We start from the raw sequence: 23,179 nt of genomic DNA on the forward strand, positions 1-23,179 counted from the left end.
CCACATTAATACAAAGAACGATTTAAAAAATTTATAGGCATATATGACACAGAAAAAAAAGAAAGAACAGGGAGTATAGGTTCGGCGCATTCACTTTATCTGAAGTACAGCATAACTCCTTTGCTCCCCAACAGGCCACTGCGGTGGCAACTTGAAAAAAAAAAAAAAAAAGGAAACCAATATTATTCAAATATTCCTGTACTTTTTCAAAAACACATGAGATACACAATACTGAAGTACTTCTCATGCTGGCTCCTTGGTTAATATAACGAAAGAAACAGAATAGAAAAAAAGAAGTACTTTAGGTTTCTAATCCCTGAAGTTCTTGTTGCTCCTTCTACATAGAAAACCTCACCTTTTTCCCAATTTTCTGCAAATGGCATTGTGGAACTCTCAAAGATACTAATTCTTTGAATTTGTTACCACAGATACGATTATCGGTCATAGATATACTCGTATCGTTGAAAAGAGACCCAGAGAAGTCTTTATCATGAAGCAGCAAGCTAAAATAAAAACACAATTGGAATTCTGCGCTCTAAGAATTGGGTAAAGCTTTTATTTCACTCTGTATCTCTACAAAATTCACGAAAGACAGTCTGCCATGTTTCAGCTCTTTGACAGCAAAGATAACAAAATTCATGCTGAAACCAAGACAGGAACACCAAATCTCAGAAACTGTTCTGCAGAAAAGTTACTGCTAAGTACCCTCCTGTCAAAATATTATTTCATCACTTCTACATACTACAGAGGTCTTCATTACACTAATTCTAAGTGTTTTCTTAAATTTTAGGTACAGTTCACTAGTTTAAAAGGACAAACTATTCAGGCAATTTGTATAAACAAGTTGAAGGCCTCAGTAGTAGCTGAAAGTAAATCATTTTACTCCCTCTTCAATCACCTGATAATTATACACAGGCAACTGATACCCAGTGATGACCTGACCTGGTGAGTTTGGATAAGGAGAATAAGCCGAGAATAAAGTTTACAGAAGGAATGGATTAATACGGTAAAATGTGTTTTTTTTTTTAACTAGAAAGAAATACCATTCCCAAAATAACAAAAATACGAAAAACCTTGAAATGGTAATTATTTTTCTACATACAGAAATACAGATTTCTAAATGAATGACTGACATGAAGAAACAAATATTCTCTGTCAAGTGCTACCCTTTGGGCGGGGAGGGGGAAGAGACAAATGACAAAACAAGTGACTGTTGCACCGGCCAAAGTCTACCATATTTATACTGTGTACTTATGCCCACCCAGAAGTTATTTCTTACGCTGCTGATAAGGCTCTATTAAGATAGATTTCAACGTAAGTTAAAATAATACATTTGCTCTTTCTTTGGCAAAATACTTCTAGACTGTTTGCTATCTGATGATATTATAGGGTAATACTGTAGTTCTTCGGCAGATGTTACGGCTTTCTCTGTACTTCTTTTCCACAAATTAAGGGCAGTAAATAAGCCACAGCTGGAAAAGAGACAGTATAATGTCTTCTACTTTTCAATAAATACTTACTGATTAAAAACATACAGGTAGCATCATTCATCAATACACCCACATTCAGTAATGGCTCACAGTAAATGCTACAAACAAGTAGGGCTTTTCTTCTAGCCATTGCTCAGAGAAGGAAAAAGAAGAAGAGGTGTACCCCACACGTTTCAAGTACATGGAAAATGTCAACAAATGAGAGACACTGAAGAACTAATTCACTACTATTTGGTTACTTTATTTTCCATCGAAGAAAACCTCTTTTTAAAAACTAACACATAAATAAAATGAACGAAGAACAAACTAAACGTTATTTATCACCAGTAAGTGACAAGAGTATGTCAAATCCTACTTTAAATATCAAAGCAACCAGCATCAGAGAAATTACGTGCCAGAAACTCACGGGATTTCTAGATAGAGCAAAAGAGATCAGAAATCTACCCATCCCAGAACCAGAATATACCCAGAAGTCAAGCAATTTATATGAGGAGGCATCTGGAAATCACTGCAAGTAAAGAATAGCTAGGTTAACTGCTAACCTTAGAGAACAATAAACTAGGCAGACACATAAGGAGGGCTGCTTCCAAATACTTTAGGAACTAGTTATATGAGGTGAAAGAGGCAGAGATAGGAAGAGATTTGTTCATGTGTCTACAGAGGTCATTTCTAAGAGAAAGCTTCGCCAAGTATACAGAAGATTCTTAGCTCAAATGACGAACACGAAGAATAAGAAATTTCTAACAAAAGTAACAGATTTCCCGTTACTCACACTGTTCAAACAGGGATTCTATTGCCACTTACTATGGAAAGTGTAGATACAATTCCACAGAGGGAAGGATGACTAGAATAAACAAGAGAACAGGAACATAAGCAGTTCTTACCTGAACGTGCTGAGTTACAGGATTCGGCGTGATTTGGGGCTGCAGGTAGGTTTCAGTGTTTGGATTCCGCCAGACGTTCTGAAACTGTGGTGGAGGAGGAGGATTAACTACCAAAGGACGTGGCTGCACATGACGAGCACCTTTTTAAAAAGCAAGAAGAAAAAAGCCTATTTTTAGTTATTTGAAAAGCTACACGGGTCAGAAAAGAACCATTTCTTTTCCTACTCACATAACTTTTGTTTCCTGATTGCAGGGCCCAGCTTCAGCTTTTTACCATGGAAATGTATCTGTGACTGAAAATAGAACCGTTAACAAAACTAGAATCAATTTTCAAGTGTTAGCTTCCAAGACTTGGGTAAACACCTGAAGTCTTCTAAAGTACCTATCATCATAGAAGATCGGGGACAACTACGCACCAAATTAAAATTTGTCATCACGAAGCTACCTTACTTACCCTTACTACTCTAATCAGTGTCAAGAGGCATCAAGTGAAAGTTGATCAAAAACTTTCCATCACCCTGTCTCCAACCCTTCCTGTCTGTAGTTCATGAAACTAGGTGTCCAGTCAAAAATAAACAGGATCAAACAAGCTACGTGAGGTTACTCTGAGTTTGGATTTTGAACAGGAAGTGTGTCTTTCCCCAAATTTTACACAAGTCCGAGTGTATCACTGACACTAAACGTTGTAGCAATAAGATAAATAAGAGATTTTTCTATTAGATTACTTACTCCTACTATCTTCTGGACATCCACGTCATTAACAAACGAAACAAATCCATAGCTATAAAGGCAGACAAATGAAGCATAAAATCACCATCATACAGTACGTGGTTCAGAAGGTCTACTATTCTATATACAGAAGTGGTCATGACAAAAGACGAATAATATACCATGATAAGTATTTGCTAAGATGTACATGACAGATCCTCTACAAATACCACTTTTTCTTAAGCAGAACTATGTCAAAATGTGCTAGGATTAGGGCAGTGTGACAACTTTATTGATTAGCAAAGAATTCATATCTGTGAACCTGAGTTTAACTTACTGTCTAAGACAAGGTGGTTAAAATTTAAGATGCTCTGCAGTGTATGAAGAAAACAATTATTTGAGAAAACTGATTAACTCATCTGTATGAAATAGAAACTGGAGACATTTAAATACAAACATTAGAAAAATGGTCAAATAGAAGAACTGGTAATAGCCTTTTATCCCCTACGTGAAAGAAATTAACACTGCAGAATATTGCATTTATACAAGGGTCAGAATATCAGTTTTGAAGTCTTGTCTGATACTTATAGAATAGGTGACTGGAGTTCACATATTTTTGATAAAATTACTCACCCTTTGGACACACCAGTTCGATTCGTGATTATCTTCACTTCTTTCACTGAACCGTATCTACCAAAGCAGCTTCCAATCTCAGTTTCATCCATCTATGGAAAAGAACTGAACGTCAGAGTAAAAATTCAGCATTCAAAAATTTCAACTTTACTACAATTTTACTACCATGAGGTGGAAATTTCTCCCCCATTTATCCCCGAATGACCAGCAGCCCTTTGTCAAAGATATTTTTAGTACCTATGGGTCAAACCTAAAAGCAATTCTAAACCTCCAGGAAGTACAAAAAAAAATTTAAGTTTGTAACAGGGCCCACATCCCATTGTTCATGATGTATGTTAAGGTAAAAATGAGGTACGAATACAATACCCTAGCATCAATTCCACCAACAAAAACAGTGTTTGGCACGATTTTGCCTTCTGGTAACACCCAGCCTTGGCTAGCTGCAGCTGATGAAGACTGGGTGCTGGCCTCTCTGGAGATGGTTGAGTTTGGAGTCTCAGGATTTGCAGCAGACTGTAATTTGGAAAGTAGACATCATAATTACGTATGCAGGCAAAACCCATACATAATGTGAAATACCATTTTTGTATTTTAAGTATATTTTATATAAATTACTTTCATTGTAATTCAGTCACCAGTGCAGCTCAGTTCAGGCTCAGGATTTAAACTTATCAGAGTACATCAGCATGGAATTTTAACCGAAGGATACAGTACTTTCTTAAACCTAGTGCCGCTCATCACCGAGTCTTGTATAATGCTGTGGAAGAATACCCATTTAGTATTTGTGAAAGTACTACGTGAAGTAGTTAAAAAAGACACCCAAAACTAGAGAGTTTAGATTTGTAAAAATTAAAGTTATTAAAATCATCCTGTTCTATATTCATAAACAACTTTTCACTTTACTGAGTAGACTAAAGATAAATCTTAAAAAAAAAAAAAAAAAAAAAAAGCCCCACCAAAAAGAAAATAAGCCTCAACGTTTTAAACCAATTTGTTACAATCCTCTTCCCTAACGCTAGGGTGTTCAAAGCATCTTTTGAAATAACATTTTTCTTCCTGAGTAACACGGAATCAGTCTGACTGATAATTCTGATTTTCACAGTGGGCTGATAGATATAAATGATACCATCTTTATTTTCAGATAAAAAAACACATACATATAACTCACTAATTTTCTAGATTCTGATCAGAACTGTCTTTATTCTTTCCACAGCAGACTCTAAGGTTAATGTAAAATTTTCTGAAGTAGTATTCATAAGTAATATATACGTTGGAGAAACAATATAGCATAGTGAAACAAAAATTAATTCAGTCAGGAGATCTAGGTTTATGTCCCTTACAGGTAAGTGGTTATAAGCCACCTACTTGCCAGCTATGTATCTGTGGGCAAAGTGCTTTGAGAATGACATGAGATCACATCTGTGAATTCATTTTGTACGTATAAAGTGGTACAAGTGGTGTGCCAATGTAAGTTAGTGTCCTGTTATTTGAATTTATTTTCAGCCGATTTGTTTTCAAGTTTCTTTTTTGGCTTCACTATTTAGCTGACTTATTTTGAAAAAATTTTAATTAAGAACTAATTGACACATCAGGAAACTATGACACATCATTAATTTAAAAATCATTGGTGAAGTGCTGTTGACTTCACAAATGTCAGTACAAAATGCTGCAAAAGAGAAAGCTATTACACATATACCTGTCTGAAAGAAAACAAAAGACAAAAGAAACTGCGTTATCTTTTTGAACACAGTAATGTTATAGAAGTTAATAAGAAAGGAGGGTTCCTGCTTTGTTAATTAGAGCCTAGAAGTTACTGATTCTACACAGCTTTACTAGAGATCAAATCTAAATTGTCAAATCAACTAAAGCCGAGGTTACTGCATTTCTCTATTCTTTCGTGCTTGTACTTGCTATTTTGGGTCTGTAACTAATTCCTAACTCTTTCCTTTAACAGCGTTATTTCATGACAATGATGTGAAAGAAAAATTTAAAACACTATTTTTAAAGTTCTTCCTTTCAAAAATGTCTCACATTATTGCTTTTTCCAAATGACATTAAGCTGCACTACCTTGAACTACTGGGAACCTGATTAGATCTCCCTTCCCTATAGACAATTTACCAATTCCTTCTCAGTTCATTCAGAAATCCCAAACAGAATAAAACAAAACAAAACAAATTCTGAAATTCTTGTAGTTTCTTTTTCTCCTTTCCAATTCCTCCTTGATTTGTGGATGAACTTTGGGTATGTGTTTCCTTGATAAACAAGCTATATTACAGTATCGTCTCTGCACCATAGTGTTTGGATGTATTTTAATTTAGAAATGTAACATCTGGCAGAAAACTGTGTCAGACTACGAGAGGTTATGGAAATGCACTGATTCTCAACTGGGCAAGATTTTTGAGCCCCAGGGGCATTTAGCGACGTTTAGAGATTGGCTGTCACAACTGAGATGTATTCCTGGAATCTGATGGGCCGAAGGCCAGGCACACTACTGCGCATCCTACAGTGTAAAGACAGCCTCCTACCATAAGGAAGTATTTGGTGCACAATTTGAAAAGGGTCTGGTTAAGAAACCTTGTCACCGTGCCACAAGAATTGAAGAGGAAAATTCTTCTTTGGGAAGAACCTGATTTCCATCGCTCACTAAAGTGAATCTTTTCATGACCTCGGTTTCAGTTTCCTTGCTTGAAAACGAATGGCCGGAAAAGACCTCGGGTGTCTCTTCTGATTCTCATACTCATTTGGATACTCGAAATAACCGTAGTTTGGTAAAGAAGAAAAAAGGCATTTGATATTATTAAGAAGTTTGACTTTAGCTTGGATCTTACAAACCGGCTGCCTGCTTAACTGGAATCGTACATATAAAATTCACTGAATCTCTCTAACAGCGTCATAATACTTTAAATGAAGGAAGTAATGATCATGTCCTAGTCCTCAGCCAGCAGGTGGCGCTCAAAGCTAACAAGGTAAGCAATGTACCTCGTTTTCTGCAACGTACTTCACTTTTACCATGGCTCGAGTAGCAGGGATTGTTCAATTCCGACTGTGTACTTATACATAATTATATAATGTATATATAAAAATCCACAATCAACAGACAATCTTTGGTTAGTTTTAAACTACGGCCAAAAATATAAATGAATGCTTCGGATAAGCAAAAGTTTAGTTTGAAAGAAAGTACCATCGTAACCGTCAATGGCATCCTGAAAACAAACTGCATTAAAGAAGTAATTTTCTTAACCGTATCTTCAAGTGAGTTGTTGAATTTTCAAATGAGAAATGTTGCAATAGTAAACAGGGGTGAGCTTCAACACCATCATACACGCAACTCTCACTGCTACATAGGGCAAATACATTCCTTGTTACATGTGGACAACCAAGTGACAACGACAGCTAAAAGCTGCAAAAAAATTATCGTTATTTAAACTCCTGGCATGTCAGCTCCTTTGCCAGTATTATCTAATTCAATTACTATGTCAACCTGTAAGCAAACTGATACTTATATAAACTGACCAGGAAAAAGCCTATCATTTGTAGTCAGCAAAGTTACATTCACAGCAATAGAAGAGGAGCAAATAAAGAGAGTGATAAAATTAAGAAAATATGACAGGAAAATCAGAATCAAAACCTTAAGCAAATCAAAGAGCAGATTCTCGGGGAGTGGTGCGTGGGGAGGATGAAATTCAAGCAATAAACAATCCTGGCAAAACAAAGCAAGAAAACACAAGAAAGCAAAAGTATACATGAGACCTGAAAAATGGGTTGCGGCCACAGATAATAGAAGAATGCTAAGCAGAAACTCTATTTTCAATGAGGAAGAAAGTATTTCTCAACGCGTTTTACAAAGCTAAAAGCATATAGGTAACAAAGCCTCATCCAGATGATCCATCCCTGCCCTCAACACAAATGCAAAATTCCAGCAGTATATAAAGAGTCTAAGTTTACATTGGGAATGCAAGAATACTCCATTCGCAGGATACATTACTTTAGTTCATCACTGAAAATCATTTGATAAAATACAGCACTCATAATTTAAATTTTTTAAAAACCCAAGTAAAATAGAGGTAGAGGAATCTTATTTTCTATCAATCTCATTCTACCCTATCATCAAGCTTACAAGTGAAATAGTTGAGTCAACTCAATTGAAAGTAGGAATGAGGTAAGGGCACCAGGGCACCTCCTTATTACTCCTGCATATGTTTTCCACTGTGTATGACAAAAGTGAATACTAATACAAAGTATTCTTATGAATCAGTAAGAAAAATAAAATTAAAAAGGTAATTTTAAAAGCTAAAGATCAATGATCAACTTCAATGATGATTTTTAAAAGTGCACATCAACATAATGTAATATTTTCCAGCTATTACGCTGACAATTTAAAAAATACTAATAACTTTCACTGGAATGGGTGTGGAAAAGACAGCACTCTACACACCATCAGTGAGAAAATACTAATACGTGATTTACCAAGAGTACTTTGGAAAAGCTGTATCATAATTTGATAAGCGGGGATACTCACCACTATACTAAAAAGGAGAATTCATTATAAAATTGTTATACAAGGGGCAAAGTGCTTTCACCTAGCAATTCCACTTATAGCAATTCATCTCAAGAAATTAATAGTACAAGCGTGCCAAGATATTTACACAAAGATATTCACAGCATTGTTCTTTTTGAGACTGAGTCTCTCTTTGCCGCCTAGGCTGGAGTGCAGTGGCACAATCTCAGCTCACAGCAATCTGCGCCCCAGGATCACGTGATGCTGCTGCCTCAGCCTCCCGAGTAGCTGGGATTACAAGTGTGCGCCACCACGCCTGGCTAAATTTTTTGTATTTTTAGTAGAGACAGGAAACAAAAATCATTCAAATATTCCTTCACATTTTCAAAAACACATGAGATAACACAACATTGAAGTACATACGCTGGTTCCTTTAATTTGTTATTACAATAAAAGAAACAGAATGGAAAAAAGAATTACTTCAAGTTTCTAATCCCTGACGTTCTTGTTGTTACTTTTATATGTAAAACCTCAACTTTTTCCCAATTTTCTGGGGTTGGTATTGTGGAAATCTCAAGGATATTAGTTCTTTGAATGTATTACCATAGATATGATCATGGGTCATATATACAGTCATATCTATGAAAAGAGACACAGAGGACTACTATTGTGAAGCAGCCAGCTAAAATAAAAATATAATTCAAATTCTGTGCTCTAAAAAGTGGGTAATAATTTTATTTCACTCTGTCTCTCTAAAAAACTGATAAAAGTCAGTCTGGATGTTTCGGCTATTTGACGGCAAAGATTTAAAAAAAAAAAAAAAAAAAAAAAACATGCTACAATATAGAAGGGGACACCAAATCTCAAAAACCTATTCTACAGTAAAGTTTTTGCTAAGTACATTCCTGTCAAAATATTACTCAATTACTTCTAAATAATACAGAGGCCTTCATTCTAGACTAATTTGAAGTGTTGTCTTAAATTTTAGGTACATTTCACTTCTTTAAAATGGCAAACTATTCAAGCAATTTGTATAAACAAAGGGCTCAATAATATCTGAAAGTAAATCATTTTACTCCCTCTTAAATTACCTGATAATTATATACAGGCAAATGATATCTAGTGATGCCGTGAACTGCTGAATTTGGGTGAGTAGTGTGTGCCTATAAATAAAGTTTACAGTAAGAATGAATGAATACGGTAAAACATTTTGTTAATTAGAAATACTATTCCCAATATAAAAAACTATGAAAAAGTTTTAAAACATTACTTTTCTATATACAGCACTGCAGAATTCTAAATGAGTGACTGATTTTATGAAGAAGAAATATTCTGTCAAGTGAGGCCCTTTGGCTGGGGAAGGGGAACAGACAAATGACAAAAGAAGGGACTATTTCACCAGACAAGTTTACCTTATTTATACTGTGTACTTACGCCCGCCCAGAAGTTATTTCTTACGCTGGTGATAAGGCTCTATTAAGACAGACTTCAATTGTAAGTTAAATTAATCCATTTGCTATTTCTTTGTTAAAATACTTCTAAAGGGTTTTCTATTTGACAATATTATAGGGTAATACGACGTTCTCCTACAAATGTTACGGCTTTTTCTGTACTTCATTTCAAAAAACTAAGGGCAGTATATGATCCACAGCTGGAAAAGAGACAGTATGGTGTCTTCTACGTTTCAATAAATACTTACTGATTGAAAACTATACGTAGCATCACACATGAATACACCCAGATTACGTAATGGCTCACCGTAAATGTGAGAAACAGGGCTTTTTTGCTAGCCATCGTTCAGAGGACAAAAAAGAAGCAGAGGTATACCCTACCTGTTTCAAGCACATGGAAAACGTCAACAAACGAGAGACACTGAAGAACTATTTCACCACTATTTTGTTACTTTATTTTCCATCAAAGAAAATGTCTTTTAAACTAAGACATCAATAAAACAAACTAAAAAGAAAATAAACATTACTTATCCCCAGTAAGTGACAGAGTATGTCAAATCCTACTTTAAATATCAAGGTAACCAGCATCAGAGAAATCACATGCCCGAAACTCACGGGATTTATAAATATAGGAAAACACATCAGAAATCTACCCATTCCAGAACCAGAATATATCCAGAAGTCAGCAATCTATATGAGGAGACATCTGGAAATCATTGCAAGTAAAGAACAGCTGGATGAATTGCTAACCTTCGGGAAGAATAAACTAGGCAGACACACGAAGACAGCTGCTTTCAAATATTTTCGGAACTAGTTATGTGGGGGGAAAGCAGTTCGGGTGTTTTAGAGGTAATACTCTTTTTTCTTCCTACTCTTATTTAAGAGTAATTAATAGCAAAACATTTCTGTTTCTCTTGAACACTTTTTTTTTTTTTTTTTTTTTTTTTTTTTTTTACGGAGGGTAAAGCCAGAGGCAGATTCCAGGCAGATACATGCTCATTCTAAAGCCACTATTAATACTACCTTTCATGGAGTGTATAGTCTATCAAAAAGCTACTGAATTCTTTCTTATCATCATGTGTACGAGCCATTCCTTAAGCACGCAAAAACCTGACAGAGAAAAAGGCACTGTTGCTCCCATAGGAGTTTAAAATTGGGTTAAAAAGAAAGTAACAAAATGTGCCACATTAATACAAAGAACGATTTAAAAAATTTATAGGCATATATGACACAGAAAAAAAAGAAAGAACAGGGAGTATAGGTTCGGCGCATTCACTTTATCTGAAGTACAGCATAACTCCTTTGCTCCCCAACAGGCCACTGCGGTGGCAACTTGAAAAAAAAAAAAAAAAAAGGAAACCAATATTATTCAAATATTCCTGTACTTTTTCAAAAACACATGAGATACACAATACTGAAGTACTTCTCATGCTGGCTCCTTGGTTAATATAACGAAAGAAACAGAATAGAAAAAAAGAAGTACTTTAGGTTTCTAATCCCTGAAGTTCTTGTTGCTCCTTCTACATAGAAAACCTCACCTTTTTCCCAATTTTCTGCAAATGGCATTGTGGAACTCTCAAAGATACTAATTCTTTGAATTTGTTACCACAGATACGATTATTGGTCATAGATATACTCGTATCGTTGAAAAGAGACCCAGAGAAGTCTTTATCATGAAGCAGCAAGCTAAAATAAAAACACAATTGGAATTCTGCGCTCTAAGAATTGGGTAAAGCTTTTATTTCACTCTGTATCTCTACAAAATTCACGAAAGACAGTCTGCCATGTTTCAGCTCTTTGACAGCAAAGATAACAAAATTCATGCTGAAACCAAGACAGGAACACCAAATCTCAGAAACTGTTCTGCAGAAAAGTTACTGCTAAGTACCCTCCTGTCAAAATATTATTTCATCACTTCTACATACTACAGAGGTCTTCATTACACTAATTCTAAGTGTTTTCTTAAATTTTAGGTACAGTTCACTAGTTTAAAAGGACAAACTATTCAGGCAATTTGTATAAACAAGTTGAAGGCCTCAGTAGTAGCTGAAAGTAAATCATTTTACTCCCTCTTCAATCACCTGATAATTATACACAGGCAACTGATACCCAGTGATGACCTGACCTGGTGAGTTTGGATAAGGAGAATAAGCCGAGAATAAAGTTTACAGAAGGAATGGATTAATACGGTAAAATGTGTTTTTTTTTTTAACTAGAAAGAAATACCATTCCCAAAATAACAAAAATACGAAAAACCTTGAAATGGTAATTATTTTTCTACATACAGAAATACAGATTTCTAAATGAATGACTGACATGAAGAAACAAATATTCTCTGTCAAGTGCTACCCTTTGGGCGGGGAGGGGGAAGAGACAAATGACAAAACAAGTGACTGTTGCACCGGCCAAAGTCTACCATATTTATACTGTGTACTTATGCCCACCCAGAAGTTATTTCTTACGCTGCTGATAAGGCTCTATTAAGATAGATTTCAACGTAAGTTAAAATAATACATTTGCTCTTTCTTTGGCAAAATACTTCTAGACTGTTTGCTATCTGATGATATTATAGGGTAATACTGTAGTTCTTCGGCAGATGTTACGGCTTTCTCTGTACTTCTTTTCCACAAATTAAGGGCAGTAAGTAAGCCACAGCTGGAAAAGAGACAGTATAATGTCTTCTACTTTTCAATAAATACTTACTGATTAAAAACATACAGGTAGCATCATTCATCAATACACCCACATTCAGTAATGGCTCACAGTAAATGCTACAAACAAGTAGGGCTTTTCTTCTAGCCATTGCTCAGAGAAGGAAAAAGAAGAAGAGGTGTACCCCACACGTTTCAAGTACACGGAAAATGTCAACAAATGAGAGACACTGAAGAACTAATTCACTACTATTTGGTTACTTTATTTTCCATCGAAGAAAACCTCTTTTTAAAAACTAACACATAAATAAAATGAACGAAGAACAAACTAAACGTTATTTATCACCAGTAAGTGACAAGAGTATGTCAAATCCTACTTTAAATATCAAAGCAACCAGCATCAGAGAAATTACGTGCCAGAAACTCACGGGATTTCTAGATAGAGCAAAAGAGATCAGAAATCTACCCATCCCAGAACCAGAATATACCCAGAAGTCAAGCAATTTATATGAGGAGGCATCTGGAAATCACTGCAAGTAAAGAATAGCTAGGTTAACTGCTAACCTTAGAGAACAATAAACTAGGCAGACACATAAGGAGGGCTGCTTCCAAATACTTTAGGAACTAGTTATATGAGGTGAAAGAGGCAGAGATAGGAAGAGATTTGTTCATGTGTCTACAGAGGTCATTTCTAAGAGAAAGCTTCGCCAAGTATACAGAAGATTCTTAGCTCAAATGACGAACACGAAGAATAAGAAATTTCTAACAAAAGTAACAGATTTCCCGTTACTCACACTGTTCAAACAGGGATTCTATTGCCACTTACTATGGAAAGTGTAGATACAATTCCACAGAGGGAAGGATGACTAGAATAAACAAGAGAACAGGAACATAAGCAGTTCTTACCTGAACGTGCTGAGTTACAGGATTCGGCGTGATTTGGGGCTGCAGGTAGGTTTCAGTGTTTGGATTCCGCCAGACGTTCTGAAACTGTGGTGGAGGAGGAGGATTAACTACCAAAGGACGTGGCTGCACATGACGAGCACCTTTTTAAAAAGCAAGAAGAAAAAAGCCTATTTTTAGTTATTTGAAAAGCTACACGGGTCAGAAAAGAACCATTTCTTTTCCTACTCACATAACTTTTGTTTCCTGATTGCAGGGCCCAGCTTCAGCTTTTTACCATGGAAATGTATCTGTGACTGAAAATAGAACCGTTAACAAAACTAGAATCAATTTTCAAGTGTTAGCTTCCAAGACTTGGGTAAACACCTGAAGTCTTCTAAAGTACCTATCATCATAGAAGATCGGGGACAACTACGCACCAAATTAAAATTTGTCATCACGAAGCTACCTTACTTACCCTTACTACTCTAATCAGTGTCAAGAGGCATCAAGTGAAAGTTGATCAAAAACTTTCCATCACCCTGTCTCCAACCCTTCCTGTCTGTAGTTCATGAAACTAGGTGTCCAGTCAAAAATAAACAGGATCAAACAAGCTACGTGAGGTTACTCTGAGTTTGGATTTTGAACAGGAAGTGTGTCTTTCCCCAAATTTTACACAAGTCCGAGTGTATCACTGACACTAAACGTTGTAGCAATAAGATAAATAAGAGATTTTTCTATTAGATTACTTACTCCTACTATCTTCTGGACATCCACGTCATTAACAAACGAAACAAATCCATAGCTATAAAGGCAGACAAATGAAGCATAAAATCACCATCATACAGTACGTGGTTCAGAAGGTCTACTATTCTATATACAGAAGTGGTCATGACAAAAGACGAATAATATACCATGATAAGTATTTGCTAAGATGTACATGACAGATCCTCTACAAATACCACTTTTTCTTAAGCAGAACTATGTCAAAATGTGCTAGGATTAGGGCAGTGTGACAACTTTATTGATTAGCAAAGAATTCATATCTGTGAACCTGAGTTTAACTTACTGTCTAAGACAAGGTGGTTAAAATTTAAGATGCTCTGCAGTGTATGAAGAAAACAATTATTTGAGAAAACTGATTAACTCATCTGTATGAAATAGAAACTGGAGACATTTAAATACAAACATTAGAAAAATGGTCAAATAGAAGAACTGGTAATAGCCTTTTATCCCCTACGTGAAAGAAATTAACACTGCAGAATATTGCATTTATACAAGGGTCAGAATATCAGTTTTGAAGTCTTGTCTGATACTTATAGAATAGGTGACTGGAGTTCACATATTTTTGATAAAATTACTCACCCTTTGGACACACCAGTTCGATTCGTGATTATCTTCACTTCTTTCACTGAACCGTATCTACCAAAGCAGCTTCCAATCTCAGTTTCATCCATCTATGGAAAAGAACTGAACGTCAGAGTAAAAATTCAGCATTCAAAAATTTCAACTTTACTACAATTTTACTACCATGAGGTGGAAATTTCTCCCCCATTTATCCCCGAATGACCAGCAGCCCTTTGTCAAAGATATTTTTAGTACCTATGGGTCAAACCTAAAAGCAATTCTAAACCTCCAGGAAGTACAAAAAAAAATTTAAGTTTGTAACAGGGCCCACATCCCATTGTTCATGATGTATGTTAAGGTAAAAATGAGGTACGAATACAATACCCTAGCATCAATTCCACCAACAAAAACAGTGTTTGGCACGATTTTGCCTTCTGGTAACACCCAGCCTTGGCTAGCTGCAGCTGATGAAGACTGGGTGCTGGCCTCTCTGGAGATGGTTGAGTTTGGAGTCTCAGGATTTGCAGCAGACTGTAATTTGGAAAGTAGACATCATAATTACGTATGCAGGCAAAACCCATACATAATGTGAAATACCATTTTTGTATTTTAAGTATATTTTATATAAATTACTTTCATTGTAATTCAGTCACCAGTGCAGCTCAGTTCAGGCTCAGGATTTAAACTTATCAGAGTACATCAGCATGGAATTTTAACCGAAGGATACAGTACTTTCTTAAACCTAGTGCCGCTCATCACCGAGTCTTGTATAATGCTGTGGAAGAATACCCATTTAGTATTTGTGAAAGTACTACGTGAAGTAGTTAAAAAAGACACCCAAAACTAGAGAGTTTAGATTTGTAAAAATTAAAGTTATTAAAATCATCCTGTTCTATATTCATAAACAACTTTTCACTTTACTGAGTAGACTAAAGATAAATCTTAAAAAAAAAAAAAAAAAAAAAAAGCCCCACCAAAAAGAAAATAAGCCTCAACGTTTTAAACCAATTTGTTACAATCCTCTTCCCTAACGCTAGGGTGTTCAAAGCATCTTTTGAAATAACATTTTTCTTCCTGAGTAACACGGAATCAGTCTGACTGATAATTCTGATTTTCACAGTGGGCTGATAGATATAAATGATACCATCTTTATTTTCAGATAAAAAAACACATACATATAACTCACTAATTTTCTAGATTCTGATCAGAACTGTCTTTATTCTTTCCACAGCAGACTCTAAGGTTAATGTAAAATTTTCTGAAGTAGTATTCATAAGTAATATATACGTTGGAGAAACAATATAGCATAGTGAAACAAAAATTAATTCAGTCAGGAGATCTAGGTTTATGTCCCTTACAGGTAAGTGGTTATAAGCCACCTACTTGCCAGCTATGTATCTGTGGGCAAAGTGCTTTGAGAATGACATGAGATCACATCTGTGAATTCATTTTGTACGTATAAAGTGGTACAAGTGGTGTGCCAATGTAAGTTAGTGTCCTGTTATTTGAATTTATTTTCAGCCGATTTGTTTTCAAGTTTCTTTTTTGGCTTCACTATTTAGCTGACTTATTTTGAAAAAATTTTAATTAAGAACTAATTGACACATCAGGAAACTATGACACATCATTAATTTAAAAATCATTGGTGAAGTGCTGTTGACTTCACAAATGTCAGTACAAAATGCTGCAAAAGAGAAAGCTATTACACATATACCTGTCTGAAAGAAAACAAAAGACAAAAGAAACTGCGTTATCTTTTTGAACACAGTAATGTTACAGAAGTTAATAAGAAAGGAGGGTTCCTGCTTTGTTAATTAGAGCCTAGAAGTTACTGATTCTACACAGCTTTACTAGAGATCAAATCTAAATTGTCAAATCAACTAAAGCCGAGGTTACTGCATTTCTCTATTCTTTCGTGCTTGTACTTGCTATTTTGGGTCTGTAACTAATTCCTAATTCTTTCCTTTAACAGCGTTATTTCATGACAATGATGTGAAAGAAAAATTTAAAACACTATTTTTAAAGTTCTTCCTTTCAAAAATGTCTCACATTATTGCTTTTTCCAAATGACATTAAGCTGCACTACCTTGAACTACTGGGAACCTGATTAGATCTCCCTTCCCTATAGACAATTTACCAATTCCTTCTCAGTTCATTCAGAAATCCCAAACAGAATAAAACAAAACAAAACAAATTCTGAAATTCTTGTAGTTTCTTTTTCTCCTTTCCAATTCCTCCTTGATTTGTGGATGAACTTTGGGTATGTGTTTCCTTGATAAACAAGCTATATTACAGTATCGTCTCTGCACCATAGTGTTTGGATGTATTTTAATTTAGAAATGTAACATCTGGCAGAAAACTGTGTCAGACTACGAGAGGTTACGGAAATGCACTGATTCTCAACTGGGCAAGATTTTTGAGCCCCAGGGGCATTTAGCGACGTTTAGAGATTGGCTGTCACAACTGAGATGTATTCCTGGAATCTGATGGGCCGAAGGCCAGGCACACTACTGCGCATCCTACAGTGTAAAGACAGCCTCCTACCATAAGGAAGTATTTGGTGCACAATTTGAAAAGGGTCTGGTTAAGAAACCTTGTCACCGTGCCACAAGAATTGAAGAGGAAAATTCTTCTTTGGGAAGAACCTGATTTCCATCGCTCACTAAAGTGAATCTTTTCATGACCTCGGTTTCAGTTTCCTTGCTTGAAAACGAATGGCCGGAAAAGACCTCGGGTGTCTCTTCTGATTCTCATACTCATTTGGATACTCGAAATAACCGTAGTTTGGTAAAGAAGAAAAAAGGCATTTGATATTATTAAGAAGTTTGACTTTAGCTTGGATCTTACAAACCGGCTGCCTGCTTAACTGGAATCGTACATATAAAATTCACTGAATCTCTCTAACAGCGTCATAATACTTTAAATGAAGGAAGTAATGATCATGTCCTAGTCCTCAGCCAGCAGGTGGCGCTCAAAGCTAACAAGGTAAGCAATGTACCTCGTTTTCTGCAACGTACTTCACTTTTACCATGGCTCGAGTAGCAGGGATTGTTCAATTCCGACTGTGTACTTATACATAATTATATAATGTATATATAAAAATCCACAATCAACAGACAAACTTTGGTTAGTTTTAAACTACGGCCAAAAATATAAATGAATGCTTCGGATAAGCAAAAGTTTAGTTTGAAAGAAAGTACCATCGTAACCGTCAATGGCATCCTGAAAACAAACTGCATTAAAGAAGTAATTTTCTTGGCCGGGCGCGGTGGCTCACGCCTGTAATCCCAGCACTTTGGGAGGCCGAGGCGGGTGGATCATGAGGTCAGGAGATCGAGACCATCCTGGCTAACAAGGTGAAACCCCGTCTCTACTAAAAATACAAAAAATTAGCCGGGCGCGGTGGCGGGCGCCTGTAGTCCCAGCTACTCGGGAGGCTGAGGCAGGAGAATGGCGTGAACCCGGGAAGCGGAGCTTGCAGTGAGCCGAGATTGCGCCACTGCAGTCCGCAGTCCGGCCTGGGCGACAGAGCGAGACTCCGTCTCAAAAAAATAAAATAAAATAAAACAAACAAACAAACAAAAAAACACAAAACACAAGAAGTAATTTTCTTAACCGTATCTTCAAGTGAGTTGTTGAATTTTCAAATGAGAAATGTTGCAATAGTAAACAGGGGTGAGCTTCAAGACCGTCATAATCACAACTCTCATTGCTATTTCTAGCAAACATATTCCTTGTTATATGCGGACAATCAAGTGACAAAGACAGCTAAAAGCTGGAAAAAATTATCATTAAACTCCTGCCATGTCAGCTCCTCTGCCAGTACTATCTAATGCAATTACTATGTGAACATGTAAGCAAATTGTTATTTACATAAACTGGCCAGGAAAAAGCCTATCATTTGTAGTCATCAAAGTTACATTCACAGCAATAGGAAGAGGAGCAAATAAAGAGAATGCTAAAATTAAGAAAATATGACGTGAAAATCAGAAGTTAATCCAAGAACAGAGTCCCGGGGAGTGGTGGGTGGCAAGGATGAAATTCAAGCAATACACAATCCTTGCAAAACTAAGCAAGAAAAAGCAAAAATATATGAGACCTGAAAAATGGGTTGTGGCCCGTGGTTATAAAAGAATGTTATGCTCAAACTCTATAGGAATAAATTTTGAAATCAACGACATGGTCAACTTGTACAGAAATTTTAATTCTTCCCAAACAATCTTGAAAAAGAACACCCAATGGTATTTGGCTTAGTTTCCCTGGGAGTTTTTTCAACTTGTAAAGAAACAGGTAACTTGGGTGTATGTGGTGTGTCACAGAGAGGTGCACACAGACGCCAGAAACCTGAAGTAAAGATAGAAGAAGAGATTAAGAAATGTAAACTCTTTTCTTCAATTTTCAAAGAGGAAAAAAGTACTTCTCAATGCATTTTACAAAGGTTAACAACACATAAGCAACAAAGCCTCATCAAGATGGTCCAACCCTCTCCTCAACACAAATGCAAAATTCCAGTAGGAAAGAATATAGTTTATATTGGCAATGCAAGAATACTGCATTCGCAGGATACGTTACTTTAATTCGTCATTGAAAAAGTATTTAATAAAATACAGCATTCATTTTTAAATTTTTTTAAAACCTAAGTAAAATAGAAATAGAGGATTCTTGCTTTCTATCAATCTAATTCTACCCTATCATGAAGCTTACAGTGAAATACTAGAGCCATCTCCACTGAAAATAGGAATGAGGTAAGGGCACCATGGCACCTCATCATTACTACTATATATATTTTCCCACTATGTATGACAAATGCGAATATTAATACAGGGTTTTTATGAGTCAGTAAGAAAAATAAAATTAAAAAAGGAAATTTAAAAAGCTAATGATCAATGCTCAACTTCACTGATGATTCAAAAAAGTGCACATCAACATAGTGTAACATTATCCAGCTATTAGGCTGACGATGTACAAAATCCTAATACCGTTCATTAGAAAGGGTGTGCAACAGAGATCACTCTACACACCATCAGTGGGAAAATACTGATACATGCTTTACCAAGAGCACCTTGGAAAAGGTGTATCATAATTTGACAGGGGGATACTCACCACTATACTAATGAGGAGCATAATTTAAAATTGTTATGAAAGGGCAAAAGCACTTCCACCCAGCAATGCCACTTACAGCAATTAATCTCAAGGAATTAATAATTAAGTACAAGTGTGCCAAGATATTTACACAAGGACATTCATGGCATTTTTTAAATTTTGTTTTGAGACTGAGTCTCCCTTTGTTGCCTAGGCTGGACTGCAGTGGCACCATCTCAGCTCACTGCAACCTGCTTCCCAGGTTCAAATGATTCTCCTGCCTCAGCCTCCCGAGTAGCTGGGATTACAAGTGCACGCCACCACGCCTGGCTAATTTTTCGTATTTTTAGTAGAGATGGGGTTTCACCATGTTAATCGGGCTGCTCTCGAAATCCTGACCTCAAGTGATCCGCCCGCCTCAGTCTCCCAAAGTGTTGGGATTACAGGCGTGAGCCACCGCGCCCAGCCCATGATAGTTTTAATACTGAAAAAGTATTCATCATAAGGGAATTCAGTAAAACAACAGTACAATTTTTAACATGATATACTGAAAATTAAAGTTATCTTCAGAATAATACCCACATTAATTGAAAGCTGCCAGTTGTAAAATAGTATTAAGCAGCACTATGTAACTTTTGTAAAAGCTGGCCTATCTATATGCAATTGCAATACATGCATAAAAATAAGTTGGAAAGGCATTCATGTATCAAAACTTAACTGTGGTTTTATGTGTTGGTATTAACATGGACTGCTATTTTCTTAGTGTGATTGTTTTCAAATGAGTAAATATACTACACTACTTTTATAATCAGGAAAAAAACCTAATGAAACGATAAGCATTTCTTCCCTCTACCTCTAAAAATGAAAAGTATTATTGTAAATAATTATAACTTATAACTCAAGGTGATTTTTTCATTAGCATGGGTAACATGTTGCACACTTATTACACATTATAGTTGCTTATGTATTTTTAATGTTTATACATGGTAATATAAACCGTGTATAAAACTCCTCCTTTTATTTCCAAAAACGAAAAGACAAAATTATCAATGCAGATACGCACACAGCATGTAACACGCGTGTTTGTGACTCAGTGTTTGGTCAGCGTATTCAGAGCCACATCTGTGATGGCGCTCAATGAACGCTGGGCATTTACCAAACTCACAGAAATGCACACCCAACATTATCTACCAATTGGACATTTAGTCAAAGTTTCCTGGTTTATCTACGGGGGAAAGATTGTGCCTGGAGTTTAAAAATTCTAAAATTCTCAATGGTAACTGCCGAAGCCAACCTCTTGCCACAAAGATGGCGTCGAGTGAGCTTTTGTGCCTGTCGCCGCCGCAGTAGGGAGCCGCCATCAGCCAGCCGCCATCAGCCAAGCCCCCAGCAGCTGCTAGCCGCGAAAGGATCAGAGGCACTTCCCACCCAGCCCCCTCAGCTAGTGGGCCGCGCCTTCAGGCCGCCCCACCCGCCACACTCAGGCCCCCACAAACCCCACCAACCCACCCCACCCAGTAGTACAAGGACCAGGAGGGAACCACTTCCTGAAGAAGTTCCGGCCCTCCCAATCCAAGGAGGCAAGTCTCTCAGCAGGCCCGCCGCCATCTTGCGGAGCCACCAGGAGAGCGTCAGAAGTGAAGTTGGCGGGGTGGGGGCGCGTGGGAGTGGGGGAAGGGGGAAAGGGCGCCTAGGAGTGGGGGTGGGGACGCGTGGGGGTGGGGAACCCGCACCCCAAACCGCTGCCAGGAGAGAACCCGGGGCAGGAAATGGGTTCCGCAAGGAGGCCGTGGCCCTTGTAAGTGAACTGTGAGGCAGGGCGTCCTGGGGACCCACGCCATGCTTGCTGTCCCGCCACTTCTGTGCCTGCCTCTCTGTATAGGCCGCGCTGCTGCCAGGCCGCCTCACCCCACCCTGCGGGCCACGGCTCCTAATGCATTCAGCGGGGTGGCCCCGAAACAGGAAAACCGAGGATAAGGCGGAGCCTGGTTTCACCCACCGGTGAAGACCCCACAGGCCTTGCCCCTCAGGTCTTTCCTTCAACTCACCATGGTGGTGGCAGGCAGCAGCTCCCGACAGGCTCAAGGAGGAACAGAGGCAGTGTTTCACCCACCACTTCTGGGTCTGCTGGTGAAGTCCGCTGGAACACGCTGTGGGGCTTCGAGTGGTCAAAGGAGCCAAAGGCTAAGGTGTAAGGAAAACCAAGGGCGGGCGAACCCTCGGAGGTAGAACCGCCAGGCTGAGGAGCGCAGGCCGACTGAGGCATGGACTGCGGGGCTCTGGGAGGTGGCTCCTGTGCCGGGTATCGGGGCGCGTGGTATCGGCCTGAGCCAATGGGTGGCAGCACACCCGCCCCCTGGAGGGTGGAGGCCTGCGGGGGATGACGGCCGTCCCCCACGCTGTGGGTGCGTAGAGTACGCAGGGTATGCCGTGCGTGTGTGCTGGCCAGTGCCTGGGTTCCAGGCAGGCACCGCCTCCAAAACACCCTTGAAATAAGTATGCATACTGAAATATATGGTATAGTTTTAAAAAATGATAATGTGTCTGGGCTGTAGTTTCAAAATGGCTTCCGGAATGCACAGGTTTAGCACAATCACTGTTAGCGTCACACCCACCCCAAAATCTTTTAAAGTACCTGCAGAAATAAATAGTAGCAAGTCTGTGGAAAACGGAGGGAGACATCAACAGGCCAGAAACTTGGACTCCTTTCTGTCAAGTTTGAGATATAAGGGGTTGGATGGGAGGGAACGCCAGTTTTGACATTCAGGATGTTCCTTCTTTCAAGAGATAGTTACTGAGTGCCTGTGATTACCAGGTACTGCAGATGCAGGAGTGAACAGAATAAAATAATATCTCTTTGCTCAGGGATTTTACATTTTAATGGAAGACTTCACCTTCTAGGACTTACAGAAAGACGCTAGGCCTGCCTAGAGACTTACAGAACATTCTCAAGATCAGAGCAAGGGCCTAGAGCGGGAGCAAGCTGTGGGGCAGGTGGTGGAGCCAATCACATAACTTTGGGGACCACTCCAGCACCTGGTTATGCACACAGGGCTACGTGGCTATGACCTTTATCCTCAAACTTCACTTCTGTACTGACGGAAAGAATTAAAATGTGACTTTTTGAACTGGCAAAATGCTGGACTGCTATAACGTGAGACGTGTCTCACTACTGACATCTAGTAATGCGGGATAAAAAAAAATAACGTTTTGTTTCCAATAGGCAGATAAGCCCATAAAAAAAGAAGGGAAATTCCAAGAACCAAAAATCAACTGAAAACCAGAGCAATGAATTGTTCAAATGATTGTTCTCCTGCCCTGGATATGGGGGCTGGGTTGTAGGGCAGCCAGTCATACTCGTTTGCCCAGGACTTACTGGTTTTAGCACTGAGAAATTCCTGCATCCCTAAGGAAACCAGAAGGATTGGTCCTCCTAGGTGTGGGCAAAATGTTACTCTCTCTAACTTGAGGTCTGGATGTTTAGGGGCAGGAGGTAAGGGCTCAAGGTGGGAGCTGGAACTGAGTACTCTGCAAAAAGCCATTGTCCCTAAA

At 37.9% G+C, this 23,179-nt stretch overlaps 1 protein-coding gene across 2 annotated transcripts in view; it reads right to left on the reverse strand.

The window, feature by feature from the left end:
- Window positions 1-21,972, reverse strand: part of DAZ1 (deleted in azoospermia 1) — a 69,740-nt gene extending 47,768 nt beyond the window's left edge. The window contains exons 1-11 of one of the 2 annotated variants that reach the window (NM_004081.7): window positions 21,676-21,886; window positions 14,930-15,076; window positions 14,564-14,655; window positions 13,952-14,003; window positions 13,452-13,515; window positions 13,223-13,362; window positions 4,082-4,228; window positions 3,716-3,807; window positions 3,104-3,155; window positions 2,604-2,667; window positions 2,375-2,514 (exon numbers count right to left, since the gene is read on the reverse strand). In NM_004081.7, the coding sequence (NP_004072.3) occupies window positions 2,375-2,514; window positions 2,604-2,667; window positions 3,104-3,155; window positions 3,716-3,807; window positions 4,082-4,228; window positions 13,223-13,362; window positions 13,452-13,515; window positions 13,952-14,003; window positions 14,564-14,655; window positions 14,930-15,076; window positions 21,676-21,678 (993 nt within the window). In that variant the 5' untranslated portion in view covers window positions 21,679-21,886. Of the gene's footprint in view, window positions 1-2,374; window positions 2,515-2,603; window positions 2,668-3,103; window positions 3,156-3,715; window positions 3,808-4,081; window positions 4,229-13,222; window positions 13,363-13,451; window positions 13,516-13,951; window positions 14,004-14,563; window positions 14,656-14,929; window positions 15,077-21,675 lie in introns of both variants that reach the window. The other variant, NM_001388496.1, reaches the window with a different exon arrangement.

The sequence above is a fragment of the Homo sapiens genome, chromosome Y, assembly GCF_000001405.40.
Source record: "Homo sapiens chromosome Y, GRCh38.p14 Primary Assembly".
Taxonomy (NCBI): domain Eukaryota; kingdom Metazoa; phylum Chordata; class Mammalia; order Primates; family Hominidae; genus Homo; species Homo sapiens.